This window comes from Homo sapiens, chromosome X (assembly GCF_000001405.40).
Source record: "Homo sapiens chromosome X, GRCh38.p14 Primary Assembly".
Taxonomy (NCBI): Eukaryota; Metazoa; Chordata; class Mammalia; order Primates; family Hominidae; genus Homo; species Homo sapiens.
In genome coordinates, this window is record NC_000023.11 from 132,625,748 (window position 1) to 132,648,025 (window position 22,278).

General features: G+C 42.5%; 1 protein-coding gene across 9 annotated transcripts in view; it reads right to left on the bottom strand.

Moving 5' to 3' along the window:
- Positions 268 to 22,278, bottom strand: part of HS6ST2 (heparan sulfate 6-O-sulfotransferase 2) — a 335,356-nt gene continuing 313,345 nt past the window's right edge. For all 9 annotated transcript variants that reach the window (NM_147175.4, XM_047442618.1, NM_001077188.2 and 6 more), the window contains one exon: positions 268 to 3,346. In NM_147175.4, coding sequence (NP_671704.3) covers positions 2,476 to 3,346 — 871 coding nt within the window. In that variant the 3' untranslated portion in view covers positions 268 to 2,475. The remainder of the gene's footprint in view (positions 3,347 to 22,278) is intronic.

Below are 22,278 nucleotides of genomic sequence, written 5' to 3' on the forward strand. Positions count from 1 at the left end.
TTTAAACTCTACCCTGTGGATAGAAGGGAGAATGAAGAGCACCATTGTGGGTTGGACACGCTTGTACAAAAAACATGGACTCCCAGAAGGAATCACCCCAAATTAAGGCCATTTTAGTGTGAGGGATTAGAATGGGCCATCTAATTTTCATACCTGGCTGCCAAGAGGATAAAAGGAAATGTCTTGTTGAAAAAAATTCTGTTCTGGTTTGTGAGATCACAATGTCTAGCAGCTGCAAATCTTGAAATTATGAGATTACTCAGAGCCTGTAATTTAAACTTTATTTCATATCTATTGTTAAATTACACAAAATCAGTGAATGGTTTGTAAAGCTACACCAATGGACAGATGTTTACAGTTGAAATCATGGGATTTACATAATGGCAAAAATGTATATGTATATTTATAACATCCTCTATATACAATAATCAGTATAGACAGAGAAAATGCACTTAATCTTTGCAAATCATGCACACCACAGCAATAACACAAAATGTTTTTTCTGTAACAAGCTTTTCCACTGGCTCAGGCTTCATCCTGCTTTCCAACAATACCTATCAGTTTTAAAAGCAAACATTTTCAATTAAAACTAAAGAAAATTGAAATACCATAGTGATCTACTAACTATTTTAAAAACACAATTGTACACAAAATAGTTTTACTCTAAAACACTGTGACTTCAAGGTGTGGAAAAATTCCTTTCAGTTTTTTAGCTCTCAGGATTTTCAAGACTGCAATACTGTCAGACAAAACAAAAGCTAGAAATACTGATACAAGCTCAGAGTCAAGAAAATCTATTTTAAACCCAAATACCCAGCTTCTTGTCCAGTTTGTGGCTATATTACTACAGATGAAACACATGAGCAGATTGTACAAGATGTGACTTTATGGTCACACTTCTAAGCATGTCCCTTGTGAAAACATAAATGCCACTTTCAGTCACCTTGTTTGATTTACAGCCAGGAGGTTAGTGTAAGTCCTTGCATAAGTATAGCAAAATCCACAGTAAAATGAAAACTGCCCGGAATCATGATGCTTGACAGCACAGTGGGTTACATACTTCTTTTTATCTTGGTCAGCTTGTAATAGGTACCATAGAAGTATTTTTGCATCGACTTACACTACCAAATTACTCTGCTCAACTCATATGTTCCTGATATGTAACCTCACTACAGAACACTTTTTACTTTTGCTCTTTTCAAAACAAAAACTTTGTAGAAGGGTTTGCCCACATTATCAAGGTGCTATTGAATAACTGGCTAGCCTTCCTAATGCTTATTTTATCCTTTTTTGGCTTTTGTAATTGTCTACAAATCTGTCAACATGAAAAAGAACTAAAGGGCTAGAAATAGTTGGCCCAACTGGAAACATTACAATAGAGATGTACAAAAAGTAAGTAAGAGTTCACATTTTAGGTTAAATTCTATCTGATCAAGAATAACTTCAGCAATATTTTTAGACACATTATCCTGTTCAAGTTTCTTGATTAGGACCTCACTACACAAATATTGATAAAATAATTCTATAGAAAGAAAGTCCTGACTTTAATCCAGGATTATATACCACAATAACTTCAGCAACACACCATTTAGATGATGAAGAAAGATTCTATACATGGGTTAATTTGGAATGAGCACAATTCAGAGAAGCCTTAAAATGAATGAGAAGCAGCGCCAAAATGATTCCAGTATTGTTGAAATTACAGTGCCCTGAAAGCGCCTGGAAATTAGATCTTTACATTGGTATTTCATTTTGAAAAAAAGGTGTTTTGTTTAATGTGAGATACACCCTGTGTAAAACCTTTAAACAGTAGAAGGTAGAAAAAGTTTAAAATTTTAAACATCTCTTAAATATCAAGATATGAGTCCTGTTCTTGAAAAGCCAATATTTTGACATAAAACTACCCATGTTTGGAGAGGAATTTTTTATTTTCTACAGCTCGGTAAGATTCACCATCAGTTGTTATTCTATTTAAATAGATTCCTTGTTAAAATCAGAAGAAAATAAAAGGTTTTATGTTTCATTTTAGTTGCTTTATGTTTATACTTATTCTCACCCCTGGAAAAAATATTTGATTCCAAGATTGGGTTTTAACAGTGTATCATGAATAATTTAAAGTCCATTTCTTAGCCATAAGTTAAATGGTCACATTTTATGTTTTCACTTTGTCTCCATAACTAATTTAAGAACTTCTTAAAATATCTAAACAGCAATTTCTGGTGAGTCTGGTTTGGCTTTCGGATTTCATATTTAGTCCAACCCCAAAAAGACAATTTAATTCCATATTGAGATTTGTTTTACCTACACACAGTATAACACTGAATTGAAAGGCAACTGTAAAGGCAACATCTAAACTTTTTTTTAAAACTTCCCCAATGAAGGAAGCAGGATGTGTTTGGACACTTTCATCTTTTAAGCTATGCCATCTTTTCAGTGGCGCTTTGGGAGAAGTATGTACAGGCCTTTTTGAGCCATTTAACGCCATTTCTCTACACTGCCTATGTAGTCGTTGGTGCCATTGCTGGTGTTATCATTCTGCTCCTTGCCTGAGTTCTGCTTCGGGCTTTCCCGGTTCTCCTTCTGGCTCAAACTCTGAGTCAGATTCTGCATCAGATTCTGAGTCAGGTTCTGATTGGCATTCGGATTTGGGTTCTGACTCTGATTCTGATTCGGATTCTGGCTCTGGCCCTGACCCTGGCTCTGGAAATGGGTCTGAAGGAGCCTTCCCTTCAGAAATTTGCGTTGTTCCTGACGCTTTCGCCTGGCCTCCTGATGCTCTTTCTGCCTCATAAACTGATACCTCTGCAAAAAAAGGTCTTTGGCATAGCTGTACAACTCCATATCCAGAAAATTCAGTCCCTCAATACGCTTTTGAATTTCCTCATTGATCTCTACACTAGAGGCCCTAGTGGTATTATACTGGGTAAATGGCGAAATAAAGTTCATGTTGAAGGTTTTCTCAAACAGATATTGGGTCTTCCGCTGAAACTCAGTGAGGCCGAAGAACGCCATGTGCTTCAGATTTGACTTGGCACTTTCCAGAAGGACCTTGTTTCTTTGCTTTTCAGGCATGACAGAGAGGTTGTAGCAGCCTACCAGGGTCAGGTCGGAGAGCATGCGCACCTGGCGGTTGTTGGCTAGATTGTAGGGACAGTCCATAAACTCTTTGAGGGGGCAGCCAGACCAGTCATCGCCAGTGTAGCAGCTGGGCAGCTCTTCGGAGGTTGGAGGCCTTCCATCGCAGACATGCAGGGATGCTTTCCATGTTGCCCCTCTCTGGACATGCCTCCACTCACTCAAGTACCGGGACACTGGGTCTCGGAGGATGGTGATGTAGTGGAAGTTCCTATGGATGAAGCACAAAAACCAACAGTCAGAGATATGGGCGAAATAAGTGGAGTCATGGAGGTACATGGCATATGTGGTGTTCACTGGCTAAAAAGGAAGGCAAAGCAAAAATGACAGGGATCTGATGGCATTTGTCCTGTAAACTGTACTGCAGTCCCCTCTCTGAGTCTCACTAGCCTAGAGATAGCTAATTTTTTCAACCAATTTGCTGATACTTCAGCTAAAACAGGTATGAAAAGGTTAGATTCCAGACATTGACCTTGTCATGCTTCACTCCCGTTCGTTCCCCCTTCCCCTCTTTTTCTCCCTCTCTAACCAAAGACAAAATCTTCCCAATGACACCATTGGCTAACTAGGCAACCACTTTATTTCATGCCCCCCACTCTAAACCATTTAGTGATCATGAAATGGAGACTCATTGGAAGCACATACTTTATTGGAGTGAAATGGAGTTGACAAGTGGGTTCAAATTCGAATCTTATTAAATATGCAATAGCATTTTTTCTAATATCCAGTCTAATCTGCATATCTTTTTGTTTTTAAAAAACTCATTAAAAGAGTGTATGATATGATACTCTTGATTCTGGCTGTTGTCATATTATGGCTCATACATTATGGAAGTGGAATGTAGAGATAGGCAGAGTAGCCCAGGGCCTCCAGCAATAAACGCTGTGGTTAGTCACTGACTGAAATAGACATGGTAGCTGCCAATGGCATGTATGCAAGCTACTACCTTGGTTTCCACCTTTGCTCCTATGATAATATTCCCAGGATAGGAAACTTAACTCTATCAGCAGCTTCAAAATGTCCCTTTTCCTTATCTACTAAAAGGGCACGTGGATGTCAGCAAGTGTGGAGGCTTTGCTGTATGGCTGTCTTCTCTTTAGGGCTTCAAACAAAGTTCTTTGCTCAAATAGCAGACTAGCAAACATTTAAACCACATGTTAACACACTCACACCATACATGGTAGGCACACGCCCCAGAAACATCAAGTCCATGATACAATCAGGCATACTTAAGGAGAGAACCGTGTCATTGTGCTTTTCATGAGAAATGGGTTACCACTCAGGTACAGAAGATGAAGGACGAGGCCACAGAAGGGCATATTGTGGAAAGAAAGCAACAATAAACATTGAATATTAGCATTTAGCTTCTTAAAGGAAACCCGGAGAATGGCTTGCAACTTTTCTGAAATATTCATTCCCATCTGAGGGAGTGGTTGTTCTCTACACATACATGAGGAGCCACAGGGAACCTGCTCAGCCACCTGCTTAACTGAATATTGGCTGATGTTCATTGAGGAAACGTTTCTCCCAACTGGGGCTTCCATCACCTCAGGCATCCTGAAATCTATCTCCTATGCCTCTATCCTGTACATGGTGCTTGCTCTGCCTGCCATGATCTTCCCTCTTTGGCTGGAAAATTCTACTCATCCTTCAATACCAGTTCAAGTACCATCTCTTTTGTGAAAAAATGTACCCCACTCTGTGTTGCCAGTTATCATTTCTTCCTCTGTGTTGCCATAGCACTTCTATACTTAGCCTTTGTTAAAATATTTGTGATACTGGGGCTGGGCACGGTGGCTCATGCCTGTAATCCCAGCAGTTTGGGAGGCTGAGGTGGGTGGGTTGCTTGAGGTAAGGAGTTTGAGACCAGCCTGGACAACACGGTGAAACCCCATCTGTTAAAAATACAAAAATTAGCCAGGTGTGGTTGTGCGCTCCCGTAATCCTAGCTACTCAGGAGGCTGAGGCACGAGAATCACTTGAACCCAGGAGACGGAGGTTGCAGTGAGCTGTGGTTGTGCCACTGCATTTCAGCCTGAGCAATAGAGTGAGACCCTACCCCTCCACCCCACTGCCTCCCCCAAAAATGTGTGATACTGAATTACAATTAATTGTTTATATTTCCACTTAAACTATGTTTTCAAGGACAGGGGCTCTGTCCTATTCTTCTATATAGCCCTCATCCCATCCATTCCAGCTTTGTACATTGGCCTTCATCCCTGGCATAAAGCAGAATCTCAGTAACTTCTTTAACTGCTTACTTGATGAACTATCCTGGGGAAGAGGAAGGAGAGAGCTAGGGACATGCCTCATGACATAAAAACTCTGGATAATCTTCTAAGTGCCTTGCAAAAAATCACAGGAAGGTTTTTCTTAAAATAAATCACTTTATATATTTTTTCAGGAAGAAACAAGCATTGGGCACAGGAGAAGCATCTGGGAGTGAGGATGGAAAAGGGGCCAAGAGCACTTTCACTTGTCTCACTACTTTCCCTAGGACCTGATCTTGTTGGTGCCACTAAAATTCATCTCTATGAGAAGCCACTGCTAAAGAGTAGCAGCTTTTGTTCTCCAGTAGCCTTTACCAACAAAGATGACTACTAAAGCCCTGGGTTCCCTCCTTCCACTCCTAGCTTTAGTACTCATCCATTCAGTGCATACTTATTGAGCCTTTATGCTAGCCCTGAGGCAACAGTTTAGTGGCAATTAGTCTGATTATTTGGAAAAAAAAAAAAAGAAATTTATTAAGGTCTGTGACACATTTGGATTAACCTTTCAACCAGCTTTTCCAGGCATGCATTGTAATGGGGGCTGCTCGGTGTTCTAACCCCCCAAAATGGAGTCACCTTCATGCTTAGCTGGAAGTCTTCTTGCCCTAACTTCTTGTATTGGTTTAAGCCTACAGTGACATCTTCTGGTAAATATTAAGAGTGCACCACAGTGGAAGTCTGCAGCTCTCCTTCCTAAACATTGTTCCTAGCCTTTCAGAGCAAATACATCCCAACCACCAGGGTTAATGACACAATCAATGTTTCATAAGCACCACCCCTACCCCAACATGGATAGAGAGAAGGCAACACAGAGACAGACTTTCAGAGAGGGTCTCTCATGTTGTGGGTGTGTGGATCCAGTATGCATTCAACTTGAAGGTCACCTAGTGCCCTTAAGAAATACGGACAGCCCAACGTAGGCAGCCTCAGTGTCTACACTGTAGGGATTTTCACTGCAGCAGAGAAGTTAGAGGGGCACACACATACACACACTGCTGCCTTGGTGATAACAGCCACCTAGACTCATATGACAAAACCTGCAGAGATTCAGTGAGTGTCAACAGCCCCCTTCTTCCAGGGCAAATAGCCTTGGGGACCCAGAATGCCTCAACTGAAAGCACTTGATGCTGCTTAGAAATATTCCATGTGTAGAAAGAAAGAAAGATCTGCTGAAGGGTAGGTGTCCAGGGTCCAGGGGTCTCCTGAATTTCATGGTGTGTTGGAAGTAGGAAGGCAGGTAAAGATAACACCTTGGAGGTTATGTCAGAAAAAGAATCCAGGATGCTCATTATATCCAAGGAAGAGCTTTTAGGGCAATATCAGAGAAGCACGCTGGGGAATGCAGCTGGGGTCGGGGGCAAACAGAGACATGGCCAGTTTTCCCTCAGTGGTCAGGTCAGGTCAAGACTTGCTTAGTCTTGGCACCTAATGTGTGCCTGGCACTATGGCAGGCACTGGGGATACAGACAGGGATAAGACATGGAAACCCGGGGAAAGTGTTTCAATTGTGTGTGCCATGAATGCTTGGAGCAAGTGCAGGGTATGATTAAAAAAAAACACCTCACACTGATTTCTAACCTAGCCTAAAGATAAGACAAGGGTTTCTGCAGCTTTATTTTGAAAAACAAGAATTAGATGAGGCAACTGGGCACGGTGGCTCACACCTGTAATTCCAGCACTTTGGGAGGCCAAGGTGGGCAGATCACTTGAACCCAATAGTTCAAGACCAGCCTGAACAACATGGTGAAACCCTGTCTCTGCAAAAAATAGAAAAATTAGTGGGCGTGGTGGTGCACACCTGTAGTCTCAGCTACTAGGGAGGCTGAGGCGAGAGGATCACTTGAGCCTAGGAGGTAGAAGCTGCAGTGCACCATGGTATCACCACTGCACTCCAGCCTGGGTGACAGAGTGTGAGACTCCATCTCAAAAAAAAAAAAAAAAAAATGAGTCAAGGAGAGAGGAAAGGAGTATGAGACAGAAGGATCAGCATGAGCAGAGGCACAGAGGCATAAACCAGCCTATTGTGCAAGAGAAACGTGCATCAAAAAACCTCCCGGGGAGTGAAGGAGTAGTGGCAGGAATTGAAGATGGAGAGGGAGCCCAGGACCTGGTTGTGAAAGGCCACAGATGCCATATTAAAGCATTCAAAGTTAATTCTGCAGGCAACAGAGAGGCTTTGAAGGGCTTTAAGCAGGGGAATGACATGATGAGGTCTGTGTTTTAGAAAGATCATTATGTATATGAAGATGAAATTCGTGAAGTTAGTTAAGAGGCCACTGCAGAAGACAAGGCAAAAGAGAAGGAGGAGCAGACTAGAGAAATATTTAGCGGGTAAAAGTGACAAAAGGGATTCGGGGGAGAAAGAGGAGGAGGACTTAAGGATGCCTCCTAGAGCTCTGGAGGAAGGACTGAGGTGCCTGCGGGACATCTGAGTAGAGTTGAATGAACAGATCTGGCACTCAGAGAGCAACCTGGGCTGAAGATAAGGTACGGAGTGGTCAGCACAAAGTGGTAATTTCCAGACCATCATGGTCTATTTAGGGACCTTTTTAAAATTCCACTTGTGTGGCTTCAGATATTCGAAGACAGCATTTACCCCAGGGCTTCTCTTCTTTATGCTAAAAATGGTTTTCAACTATTCTCTATATAGCTTCAAGGCCCCGCTATCCTGTTGTCTGCCTGCAAGTGCATTCCACTTTATTGGAACATGGCCTGCTAAGCACGATCTGACAAGCAACAAGAAGGGACAGCCTATCACCTTCCTCATTCTTGACACCATTTCTCTTAATGTGGCCTCAGATCACATGGACCATTTTGGCGGCCACACCACACCACTGATACACAGTAAGCTCAATTGTTTCATACTTTCACATATATGCCACGCTGGAACGCAATCTATATTGTCAGGAACTGATGCAGTGTATTTGTGGCCCTGTTTAATCTCTTCTTGATGGAGGAAATCTAAGCCTGTCAAAAGACATCTACATTCTGATTATATCCCCCAATATCTTCACCATACTTTCCTGTTCCTGTTGGCAATGCCTGGATTCAGGCATTGATCAAAACAGAGCAAGATGCAGGTGAGAGCAAGTCTCTGATAGTTGCTGGAAATCTTTCTTCAGGTTGACATGAAACTGAAGGGTGCCGCTGAATGGACTGACTGAATTTTAACTGAATGAGGCCAGTTCAGCCCCAGGAAAATCATACGCCACCTGTTTCACTTAGTAGTAATTGGACAGGACTTTCTTGTGACCAAATGTATCACCTAATTAAAATGACAAGGTGTCACATTTTTAAATTGGAGCCATGACTCCCCATTGGGTTACATGGGTTAATTGAATGGCTGATTGGTGCTTCTGTATGCCCATGGTGACTTTACAGGCACTACACAGTTAAAGGTTTACCACCTTCTACTGAATGACAGTTCTCTGGGTGGCCTTGGACCAACACAATACTCCCCTCATTCTTGCTTGTCATTCTTAAGAATAACTGTAGAATGTGCTGGGAGTGCAGTATCCTGAGATAGGGAGGAACTGCCTGAAACAGCAAAAGCCTTGTTCCAGTCCTTCCTGGAGAATCTAACATCTTGAGATAGGGAGGAACTGCCTGGGACAGCCCAGCCTTTGTTCCTTTCTCTCAGAAGCAGGATGTCCTTCAAAGCTTTGCTAAATGAGTCACATGGCCCCTGAGGTATATAACTCAGGAAAGGCTGCCTTTTGGGGTCTCTCAGCTATGGTGCAAGTGAGGCATGCTTAATCGAGACTCATTCACCCAGGCAGCTTTCTTGAGTCTTGGGAAACCATCTCACAGTGGATCCTAGGCTTCTTTTGTCCCTTGCTGCCTATCTGTAAGTAATAAACCCACTTCATGTAACTTGTTGCTTATGAGTGTGTTCTGTCTCACCAAACCCATAGAAGTTTATAAACAATGCACAGTGAACCTGCTTTGTGTCTACAAGTTTAGGCCAACTTTTTCCTGTCACTGATAAGCAATTGTCGAAATAATAGCAACAAATGAAAGAGTTGTCCAAGCAAGAAACCAAAGGGCCATCCTTGACTCCTCTAATCTCCCCTCACTACTAAGAGCTAAACATTCGCTTAAGTCCTTTCCAGTTTCTAATAGCTCTGAAATCCATCCTTTGCACCACTGCCTGGGGTCAGGCCTTCATCACTTCTCTACTAAAACATTGCAGTAGCATCCCGTCCTACTCTTCAGGTCTCCAGTCCCATGCCACTTCCACACCCCCAGATGGCACATACCTGACCTGTCATTCCCTAATTAAGCCCTCCCAATGGCTCCCTATCAACTATGACATGAAGCCAAGCTCCTCCACATGCTACAGACAGCCTTGTGGAATCCAGCAACCACCTTTCTTTCTGTCCAGCCTTCTCAAGTGAGCTCCCTCTATACAAGTCTTTCTCAATTGTGAGTGATCTTCCATCTCCACTCCCCAAACCCCCAACTCTGGGCCACTTGGCAATATCTGGGGATATTTTGGTTGTAATGACTTGGGGAGGGGGTTGGTACTGGCATCTAGTAAGTCAAGTCCAGGGATGTTGCTAAATATCCTATCATGCACAGTCCCCCTACAACAAAGAAATACCCTGCCTCAGATGCCAATAATGCCAAGGTTGAGGAACCTTGCTCTATACCCTATATGCTGAATTTTCCAAATCAAAGTCCCAGGCAGTGACTCCACAGGTGCTTTGCCTCTGTATATGGAGTGCCCACTCTTTTGAATGGCTTCTATTTATCCTTTGTAGGTTACCTGGCAAAGTCTTTCAAAACTCAACTCAAAGACTGTCTCCTCCGCGAAACCTTCCTTGACCTCCCTGGATGGAGTTAAGCACCCCCTTCTCTGCTCCAGACGCCCTGGTGTTCTCCCATTGTAACATGTATCACAATGTGCTGGGATTGTCAAGCGATTTTTCTGCCTCTTCCGCTGGACTATGAGCTCTGGGAGGGTAAGAACCATGTATCTATCCTCAGGGCCTAGCACAATGTTTGACATAAAGTAAGCAATTAATAAAAGATTGTTGAATGAATTTCTGCAGGAGAAGCAGCAGAGCTTATGATGAGCAAATAGGAAAATGCGTATCTTATTCTTTGATAAGGAAAAGCCACTAGATGTCACTATGAAATAACAGATATACCATTTTATACCTGTAATGGAGCATTTTAAGGAGATGTAGCTGTGAAGGACATTGTTATATTTAGCTGTTGTCCCTGACTTTTTGTGCAGTATCCCAGTTTAAAAGAAGGCTGGAAAGTTTAAGGACGTTAAAAATAACTAAATGGTTAAAAACAAGAATCTTATTTTTTATTCTCCTTTTAATAGACCATTCTGAAATAAGTGCCCAAGTTCTAAGTCACAGAGTCCTACACTCGTCAGAACAGGAGGAAACCTTTGAGACAGTAAATCATTTAGGTCAAACCCTTCACTTTAAAGGTGGGGATACTGAGGCCCAGAGAGAGACAGGCAAGGACTTGTCCCCAAATCACACCTTGCCAGTAGCCCTTGAGAATCAATCTACCTGAGAGAACTATTTCTGGGCCGAAGTCCTGTTATTTTAGCAGACCCTCTTTGTGTCTGCTAGTTACCTAGGATGGCACACTCAACCAGGCCTGAAAGAACTCACTAACCCCCATGAAGGGTAAACATTTGGCTGCTCAAAGAGGACACTTTCTTACACCAACTACATAGCCAGGAACTGGGGGTGCTCTGTGCCTGACACTTATACGTTAACTCCCAACAATCCTGTGAATCATATATTATTATTCCCTTTTCCAGAATGAAGAAACTGAGACTCAGAGATGATGTGACTCTGGGTCACGCCTCAAGTTAAGTAGGTGTGTTCAGGCTTCAATCCAGGTCTCTCTCACTCTAGAAATGGTATTCTTTCCATCCTGGTGCTAGGGCACAAGCCCAGGACTTCTAATTCTATGAGTTAACTAAAAAAGTGGTTCCTAAAGTGTGAGCCCAGAACCATCAGCATCAGCATCATTTAGGAACTTGTTAGAAATGCACACTCTCAGGTCCACTCACTGAATCTGAAACTCAGAGGCTGGGGCTTGCCAATCTGCATTTTGGGAAGCCCATCCAGAAATTCTGATATACACACAGTTGAGTTTGAGAATCACTGTCCTAGGCATGTGGCTTCAGAGATCAGAAGTCTCTCAGAAATCCCAGGTGGTATCTAGAGTGTAGACAAGCCAACTGTGCCCCCGGATGCAAGCCCTATCTTCTCTCTACCCCTTGGAGAAACCCTGGGGGCACCCATTTCCATCAAGGGAAAGTCCAGGGAATGTTACTTGAGCAAAGTTCTGAGGATCATGCTGTAAACATTTACTTTCCTTTGAGGCTACTGGTTCACGAAAGGCCATGATAAGGTTTTCCCTGCACTACTCAAAGGGGAAATAAATATCAAAGACATTTTTTAATAGAAGAAGGCCAGAAAACCCGTAGCAGTTAAGGTCATAGGAGTGATCAATAAAAAGTTAATTTAAGAAAGGAAACAAATTCTTATCCCAAATCAATAGGAGTGAACATTCTATTATACCTGTAGCATATATATGTGCTATATATATATAAAAAATATATATATAAAATATTATATATTTATATATATAATATTTTATATATATAATATTATATATTATTTTATATATATAATATTATATATAATATTTTATATATAATATATATATAATATATTATATATAATATATATATAATATTTTATATATAATATTATATATAATATTTTATATATATATTATATATAATATTTTATATATAATATATATAAAATATTTTATATATATATATAAAAGTTCAGCCTTTGCACATCTTGTTCTTGGAGAAACAATGAGTGGTAGAAAAAGAACTGTGGTTGGTGGTCCTAAGTAACTCTGCCAATAGTTGGGGTGGTTGTATATGACACTGAGTCATTAATGTTGAAGGTCTGGTCTCCTTCCTTGGCTAATGAAGTCTAAAGCAACCACATGGATCCTCCCATTGCATGTAAATGACTGGGTCAAAGCAAGGAGGAAGGCGTTCAAATCAAACAATATTAATATGTGAGCACAAACTAAATAAAAGTATGGTAAATTGAATCAAAGGCAAACATGCTTCTGATGGAGCTGGACCCCTTAAGCCCTGGAGGTGCTGTTTTAAGTGCTTTTCTTGTGTAGCTCATATTAGTAGTCCCCAAACAGGAGTTTAATAAATGCTGTTATCAGCAGTGGCAGCAGTCTCATAAAAGAAGTGTGGGACTTCACAAGGGGACTACTTTGAAGCAGACAGACGTGCCTGTAGATGTGTTGTTTTTGGCACATTTGTCACAAGTTTTATGGCTTAGTAGTCATGCTTTACCTAGTGAGAAGAGTGAGCTGTTGCATTTGCAGACAGTGGGTTACATAGAGCAGTGTGACACATGACTTCATTTAATTGTCTTCACAACACTAGAAAGACCTAAATGATCTGGATGCTGAACCTCTTCCTTTCCCCTTGAAGTTCATGCTGTGGGCTGCTGACTTAGCCAGACTTTCTGGGCTACCCACAGGAGGTGGGGAGCAAGGTGAACTCTTGGGAGCACAGTGATCCATGAGACAAGCAAGACTTATTAGACAAAAGATCTACCAGACACAAAACCAAATCTGAAGAGGCTGAAGGTCTTGCACCCACCAAACATGCTATTAGTTCTCCTTGAAGGAGTTTTCTGCTCTTCTTCATACCTCACCCAAAGGACCAGTTCTGTGTATATAAAGTAACACCTTCATTCATTGATTCTTTTCCTCTGATTAACTAAAAGTAAACCCATCTGTGTGTATTGTGGGGAGTGCTCAAAGGAGCACAAATGGGCTTTCATTAAACAGAAGGATGTTTTTCTATGCGATTCTTTTTCTTTAACAAAGCAGAAATTTTTTTCCTTTGTTGAAAATAAAGAAGATTTCTAATGCCTTTGAATTCAAACTCAAGGTGGAATTCTTCACACAATGAGTCCTGGTGATATTTACTTCTTTTTAAAAGAAATCACTCTCCTTTTTCCCAAAGCCCAGTAGGTTTCAAAGTACATAACTCTAAGGGCTTTTGCAAATAGTGAAAAAGCTGAGTTCTTTAACAAGATGTGAAATTCCAAACTTTATGACCCATAGTTGCAGGCCTTTACCCAGAATCCATCCAATTGCTTGACATCATGAAAAATTTTGTAGATTACACTGCCTTTCTCCCAATTTTTTGCATTCTAAAATTATTTTGTGAGTCTTGGTTCATTAATAGTCAGTGTATTCTTGAGGTGGAAGAAACTTTTATGAAAATACCCTACAGCATGCAGATTAGGGGACTGGGGTCCCATGAAGGGATATGATCTGCCCAAGTCACATGGAGACCAGATCTGCCACTGATTAACACACTCAAGCTTCCTGCCTGACTTTCCTTCTAGGAACTCCTCCCTCCACATATGGAACTTCTCAGCTTACTGAGTGTTTCTATGTGACATCTTCTGTCAAATTGCCATCCCTTGAGGATTGGCATCTGGAACTGCCAGAGCTAGGGGTTGGTTCTCTTCCTTCTCCCAACCCTGAAACAAGAGTGCACAGAGGGGAAGAATCATAAGCTCCATGCCACAGTGGATGGGAGGAGGTTGGGGAAATTTCTAAGTGTCCCCACTGGGACTATCATGGTTTGCTCTTCAGATAAACATCCCTAGTGCCTCTTGTCCCAGGAATCCATTGCTTTGGTCCTGCCTTTTGATTGATTAGTACATCCACATAAAACCCTGCATGTTTCAGGTCTTAACTAAAAAGTAATAAAACTGGTACTTTCATGAAACTCAATCCAGAAACAGGCATGTGCAAAGAGGGTACATAGTGCCCTTTTAGCCCTGGAGGTGAGGGGCTTGGCCTTGGGTTGCAAGACAGAAGTTTAATCAATCCATGAACAACGTATCAACTCTGACCTAGAAGTCGCCATAATTAGAGCTGTAGGCATGGTGAGGAAGTTGCATGTATACGGGTGCCAGCTTTCAACGGGCTTAGAATTGGAGGGGGCGGGGGCAGATAGAGGCACAGTATATTTCAGTGCTAATTGTGTCATACAGAGATTAAGTGAGAAATGAGTGGGGAGAAGAGAGTTGACTGTATTATGGTCATCAAGGAAGGCTTCATAGAAGAGGAGGAATATGATGGATTCTGAAGGACAAAAAGGATTTGACTAGGTGCGTGTATGGTGGTGGGGTGGGTGGACGGCATTCTGACATCAGCAAAGAGCAAAACACACAGGAAACTAATAGATGTTTTGATTTAACAGGTGCCTACAGTATGTCAGACACTAGGCTAGAAGCTTTTTCAGAAAACCTATCAAATAGGTGTTAATGCCTTCATTTTAGTCACAGTGTATATCATGAAAAGGGCTTGTTCTAGAGCTGCACTGTCCAATATGGTAGCCATCAGCAACATGTGACTACTGAGCTCTTGAAATGTGGCTAGTCTGAACTAAGAAGTGATTTAAGTTTTCAAGCATACTAAGATTTCCAAGACTTAGAGGTAGAGAAAATATCTCATGAATTAATTATTATTTATACTGATTATATGTTGAAATAATAATGTGGATATATTGGGTTAAATAAAATGTATTATTAAAATTAATTTCATCTGTATCCCCATTTTTAATGTGGATACTATAAAATTTAAAATTACATAGGTGACTTGCATCACATTTCTTTTTTTGAATTTCAACTTTTATTTCAAATACAGGGGTACATGTGCAGGCTTGTTATATGGATATATTGCACGATGCTGAGGTTTAGGGTATGGATCCCATCACTCAGGTGGTGAGCACAGTTCCCAATTGGTAGTTTTTCAACCCACAACCCCTTCCTCACCCAACCAAGTAGTCCATGGTGTCTATTGTTTCCCTGTTTGTGTTCATGTGTGCTCAATGTTTAGCTCCCACTTATAAGCGAGAACATGAAATACTTGGATTTTTGTTTTTGTTTGTTTGTTTTTGGAGATGCAGTCTCGCTCTGTCTCCTAGGCTGGAGTGAAGTGGTGCGATCTCAGCTCACTGCAACTTCCACCTCCCAGGTTTAAGTGATTCTCCTGCCTTAGCCTCCCGAGTAGCTGGGATTACAGGCATGCACCACAATGCCCAGCTGATTTTTGTATTTTTAGTGGAGATGAGGTTTCACCATGTTGGCCAGGCTGGTCTCAAACTCCTGACCATCTCAAGTGATCTGCCCGCCTCGACCTCCCAAAGTGTTGGGATTACAGGCATGAGCCACCACACCCAGCAATATTTGGTTTTCTGTTCCTGCATTAATTCGCTTACGTTTATCGCCTCCAGGTGCATCCATTGCATTGTATTTCTATTTGACAATGCTGATCTACAGCCAGACTGCCTGTGTTCAAATTCCAGTTCTGGCAGTTACTAGCTGTGTCATCTTGGGCAAATAACCTCTCTGTGCTTCTACTTTTCTCATTTACAATGCATGAAAACCATAGAGTCTTTATGAAGATAAAATCTGGTCTTTATATTTGGTCTTTGTGTCCTCACTGACAGATGTGTCTGAGCCTCCAATGTGTGTGCTCTCACCCACTGGGCTGTTCATTCTCATTTGTGCCTGAGCACAGCCTCAGGAGTCACAGGCCAGGAGCACAACTGGCCTGAATGCAGCAGGACATTTGAGTAGGAGGCAGTTGGATATGCTGGGATGTGAAATGAGGGATCCAATTCTGTGGTTTTTGTGGGCCCCTTACAGAACCGCAGGGCTGGGATCTGAGCATTTTAGAGCTGAGGGGCCTGGGGGCAGGGGTATAGCTGGACACCATTTTAGACCATACTTCGTATTCTACGGATCCCGAACCAGATAGCCAGCTCCCTTTCCATGTCTCTAGATTGTGAGAAATCCAGAGACACACAGAATCATTTCTTTAGGGACCTCCACAGAGACAAGAAATCAAGTAAGAGGCCTTTTTCACATGGTAGGCCGTCAATAAATATTAAGGCAATTTTGAGCTAGTGATAGCCAGTCCCACGCATTCACCTGGGCCTGCTGGACATGTGCTGTCTGGGAGGCAGGTACCCTAACTGTGCTTTGGAGAAATCGTTAGAGGAAACCTAGTCAGGAAAAATGCCTGCTCTCAGCATTGTGCTATTTTCCAGAGCAGCACAGGGGAAAAGTTTTCCCCCTAAATGAAGGCTTCCCTTCTTGAGCCCTGGGTTGATTTTAATGAGCTCTAATATTGCTTCAAGGTGCTGAGAGATATGAAGTGCAAACCCTGGCTTTTTCTGGGGGGGTGTGGGGGAACAGAACTTTTTAACCATTTGAACTGTAAAGAATTGAAGCCATTCAGAATTTCAAGGGCTGGCAGGGTCATGCCTCCTTTCACCTGGGAAAGTTTTTCCTTCAGATATTCAAGCTGCAAAAGGCATAATTACTGAATAACATGGCTGGGCTACATGTGTGGGGAAATAAGCATTCTATACAGTAACAGGCACAGCCTTGTTTCTTTGCAATGATAATACTGGGTGGTGAAAAAAACTCATCCATCCCCCATCCCACCTCTCTAGCTAAGGAATGTGATGTCACACTGGGGCAAGTACAGGAAGGAGGACTGAAGACATGAAGATCCTGATTGAGCAGAAGGAATTATTTTGAAGGTTATGTTAATGCTGAAACTGACAAGCGTTCTATAAGTTTCGTGCATCAGAGGTTTCTTTTTGATGGCATAGAGACTTTGGACAACTGTGTTTCCCCTTTAAGGCAAAAAGGAGACCTTCCCTGAAATCAGTGGCCTAGTATTGGGGAGTCACGGGGCAGTTGCCCTCATCATCCCTTCTCCACGCACAGTATATTCCTCCAGATTGCAATTTTACATCACACTGCAATGTCCTGAATCCTAGAGAAAAGACATTTTTGTCCAAAATGTGACAGAATAGAAAAACAGTATGTGAAATTAGACAGCTATGCGTGTTGTAAAATATAAGCCATGGCTCTACTTTGATGAAAGCATGAACATTCCATAATTTTTGACAGAATAGAATCTTTTTTTTTTTAAAGGGGCACTTTACAAACCTCATCTTGTGCAAAACGGGATCTTACTTCACTGAAAGTGGGTGAGGCCATTTTACTCATCATGGTTGGGGGCAGTTCAACCAAGGGGGAGCCTGAGAGTGTTCCACACCTCCCTCCATGCATACAGTGAGCTCTGGATTACTCTCTCGTTGAGTAAGAGCCATGTCCCATGTGTGGAAACTGGCCAACCGATGAAGGGCAAGGTTCCTGTGAATGGAACCAATGAGAGCCACTCACAAATGAAAGATGAAAGTGACAAACTCATATTTTTCATAGAGTAGATGGTTTGGCAGACCTCTCAGAGGTTACCTGCTCCAATCACTTTAGCAATGAGAATGCTAAAGCCCAGAGGTGAAGGATAGGGACTCATCCAGGGTCATTTGGCCAGTTTATGGCACAGAAGGGACCCAAAACCAAGTCTCTGACTCCTTGTTCACTTTCCTGAATATCACCCTTAAGATGACCAATGAACAGGAATCGGCTTTAGGCAAAGGCAACCCCTCTATTTGGTTGACGTTCACTTATTCTTTACTGCAAGACTTTAAACCCATAAAAAAGGACTCAAAGTCAATGCTCACATTAAGACAGATGCCTGACCCTGACTTTCCAACTAAGGCAAATGCTAGAGGGCAGAACCTCCCTTAGATTCTTCAAGTCATCATTTACTGTGAGGACATGTCAATGAGAAGAGAGATCTGCTTGCGTGCTGCGTGAGCCACCTACAGAGCTTTCCCTCCTGGCTTGGGCTTTTTTGTCTGGAATTGAGCTTAATTCTCAGAAATAGTGACTCACTGCAAAGTGGATTTAAGGCCAGAGATAATTACTCTAAACGACATTGCCCTTCTCAAAATAGTTTTTCAGAAAAGTCATCTGAAGAAAATTCATTGATATCAGTGCCTGAGAGAAGGAAGGAAGGAAAGAAGGAAGATGGGAAGGAGCGAGGGAGAGAGAAAGGACAGAAAGAGGGAAGGAAGGGAGGAAGAAAGGGGGGAGGGAGGGAAGGAGGGAAGGACAGAAAAAGGGAAAGTGGGAAGATAGGAGTGAGGGAGGGAGGGCTGATTAATCACAATGAGAAATTTGAAAAGGTTTCCACTGTTTTTATAAAGTTAGTTTCTCACTCAATCCTATGAAGTATACAGGACAAGATATAAAATTCCCATTTTGCAGCTAAGGAAACTGAACCTCAAACAAAGGAGGCAACTTTCCCAAGGATATATAGTTGGTCAGCAGTGGGTCTAGGACCAGAACCCAGGTTTCCTAACTCCCAATTCAGTGTTTCCCCCATGTTTTCTCTGTTGCACATTAAGCCTCAAATAAATGGCTGCATACTCCATTTCTCTTATTTTGTCTTGCAAACCAGGCTAGACATTCCTTAAGAGCCAAACTATTTGATATCTCTCCTGTCTCTCAACACAGGGCCCAGCACCTTATGGGAACTCAGACTGGTGGGTTAATTGATGAGCCTTCTAGCATGAAGCCTTGAAATCACCCAGGATGCTCCATTTTATCCTCTCCCATCCCACTGCACATCAGTTCCTCCTCCCACCAATCAGAAACAAAGGGCATTGTCCCCTAAACTACACAGGCCCTGAAACGAGTCCCAAAGTGACTCCACCTCTGGCTGGTGCAGTGCCTCAGGTCCCCAGGTTGGCATTTCCCCAGTCAGGAGAGACTGCTGCACCCACAATACAACTTGTAAGGGTAAAGGAGGCCCCTTCTCCTCCAAATGTACCCCACTGAGGCCTGAAATCCCATCCTTAGTTACTATTTCTTTGGTCCTTTGTTGTAGCTGGGAGACCTCGGCCCTCCAAGCTTCTCCATTCCTCCTCCTACACCTCCCCCTTCTTCCAGCCTTTCCCCCACTGGACTCTCTCTCTGGGCTTAGTCTGTTCAAAATCTGAGACCTAGAAGGAAAGTCATTAGAAAAACTCATTTTGTCAAAGTGTCATGTACTTAGCACCACCAGAAGCATTTCCATTTTAAAGGGGCAGCCCCTAAGGGGCAATGCTATGCCCTCTTATGGTAGAATTTCAGGCAGCAGTAGGGCAAGTTCTATGGGGCAGGAGGCCATCCAAAAATCACAGAATATAGGAGACCAGCTATTATGCACAGGTAAAGCCTGCTTCAATAGTCATAATCAGGATACCTATTCCTTTCTGCTCAAAGAAAGTAGAGGAATTTAAAATGAGGTCTTTTGGTGACAGTTTTGATCAAACACTTTTTCCTTTTCAGAGCCATGAATCGGTCATGAACACACTAAGTTAAAGCAAGATTTGATTTCCCCAAGGCTATTTTTGAAGTCCTGTTGTTCCCCTATCCCACCTCCTTCCATTTAACATTCATGAGTTAAGGTGTTACTAGAAATGCACGCAGGGAGAACATGTCGACCTTCACCTTCTACGTGGTGGAAAGAATGTGCTGACAGTTGAAATATGGGCAGGTACATTTTTGGGAGACTGGCATTGCTGCATTTCAGCATACCAAGCACAGTTCAGGTGATGAGCAGGTCACCTTTGAGGTTTTTAAATAATCATAAGTATTTATATTTCTCAGTTCATTTTCAAGGATTAAAGAGCTATTATTCCAAATCTTTTGAAAGGAATAGCACCCTCTTTCTCTTCTACTTCTAAAAAGTTCTTTATAGCAAATATATATTTATTTTTAACAAAACACATCTTCTTCTTCATAGAGCCTTACACCATGACTGAGAAATAGACAGTTCCAGTCCATTTCATAGACACTGATATTAGTGCACAGAGAGGTGAAAGGTCACACAGCCAGTAAGTCATCAAGTTACATATGTTTTAAACCCAAGTCTAGATATCCAGACTCATTTTTCTACCCCATGCCACTTTGTTCATTTTATTTTAAAAGGTAATTTGCATGACAGCGGAGAGCTTTCTACAACACCATAATGGGACAGGCAACCAGGGCCAGCCTTGTGGGGTGGCATAAGTTCAGGAGTGCTGGGAAGCACAGCCCCTCCCCAACACAGTTGGCCAGCAATCCACAATGTAAAGTTTATTCCTTTGGTTTAAGAATCTGCCTCCTGTGCGTAGGGGATGATAGGAGATAAGGAGTACGGGGTCAAAAGCAATGAAGACTTATTGGTCATTTGCATGGGGGAGGGACTAAATGACCTCTAAGATATCCCTCCTGCTAGGTGTGGTGGCATGTGCCTGTAGTCCCTGATACTTGGGACGCTGAAGTGGGAGGACCACTTGAGCCCAGGAGGTTGAGGCTGCAGTGAGCCATGATAGCAGCTCTGCACTCTAGTCTGAATAACAGAGCAAGACCCTGTCTCTTAAAAAAAAAAAAAAAAAAAAAAGTCATGTGTCCAAATTCAGGACAAGAAGACAGGCCTCATCTCTAAGTGTACCTGGAGCTCACAGAAGGAAAAGAGCAAGGCCATCTAGTTGGAACACCGTGCAACGTAAGAGCCTTTCAGTGGTGCCCAGCAGGCAGTCAAGGAAGACTACTGGTGGTGAGGAGAGTGTATTAGTCCATTCCCATGCTGCTGATAAAGACATACCCGAGACTGGGTAATTTATAAAGAAAAGAGGTTTAATGGACTCACAGTTCCACATGTCTGAGGAGGCCTCACAGTCATGGCGGAAGGCAAAGGAGGAGCAAAGGCATGTTTTCCATGGCAGCAGGCAAGACAGTGTGTGCAGGGGGACTGCCCTTTATAAAACCATCAGATCTTGTGAGATTTATTCACTATCACAAGAACAGCATGGAAAACCCACCCCTGTGATTCAATTACCTGCTGCTGGGTCCCTCCCACGACGTATGGGGATTTTGGGAGCTACAATTCAAGATGAGATTTGAGTGGGGACACAGCCAAACCATATCAGACTGCCCATATGGACAGGACTGAGATCACAGAAGTGAGGAGAGAGAACATCTCCATCAGCCTTTCCCCTCAGTTTCCTTCCTCTCTCAGTCTTCTCCACATCCCACCTCATGCTGTGTGCATCCCCTCTTCTTTTTCAGTGACTTCCTCCTCCTCCTGGTTGTTTTGCCATTCTCTCTTCATCTTTTTTTCCTGTCCTGACGCCATAACTCCCCTTTCTCCCCCTCTATCTTCTCCACCCCTCCAGCCTCTATGTCCCCTCATTGTATTCTGATGAGTCCTCTTTGCTCCACTGTCTCTTAGTTTCCCTTGTCAGTGGCCAGATCAGCTGAAATAAGGCCCAGAGGTGAGCAGCAGGAGAGAAAGCTGAATATGGGTACCCCCAAAGCTTCAGCCTGGGGACAAGCAAGTGAATCCTCAACATGCCTCTGGGAAATCACTTTTCCCCTTATTCCCCTGCTGGAGAGTCCCAAAACTCCTAGGCAGGCATGGTCTTTGCCCAAGTGTGTCTTTGGCATCCATCTCCTCTCCTCCCTATACCCATTGGCTTTATTCTTGCTCCTCTAGCATCTGTGCAAACACTGGTAGGAAATGAATGAAGCCAAGTTGTTGGATGCAAGAGGCTTAACCATGGGACAGGAGGAGAGTGAAGTTTGGCCAAGTGTTTTAGGAGGACAAGAAAGCCTTCCTACCATGGGCATGGGGCACTTGTGAGATAATCCAGGCAGCATGTCTGACAACAGAGGGCTTTTATAAAATTTCTTTATGCAAGGCAATATAATATAGATCATGAGCATGAGCTCTGCAGCCATTCTGTTGAGGATTTGAATCCAGCTCTACCTCTTATGAGATAGCAGTGTGACTTTGGGAGAGATGCTCAGACTCTGTGCTTCAGTTTCTTCATAAAGTGAAGATGATAATTCTATCACTTGCCTCATAG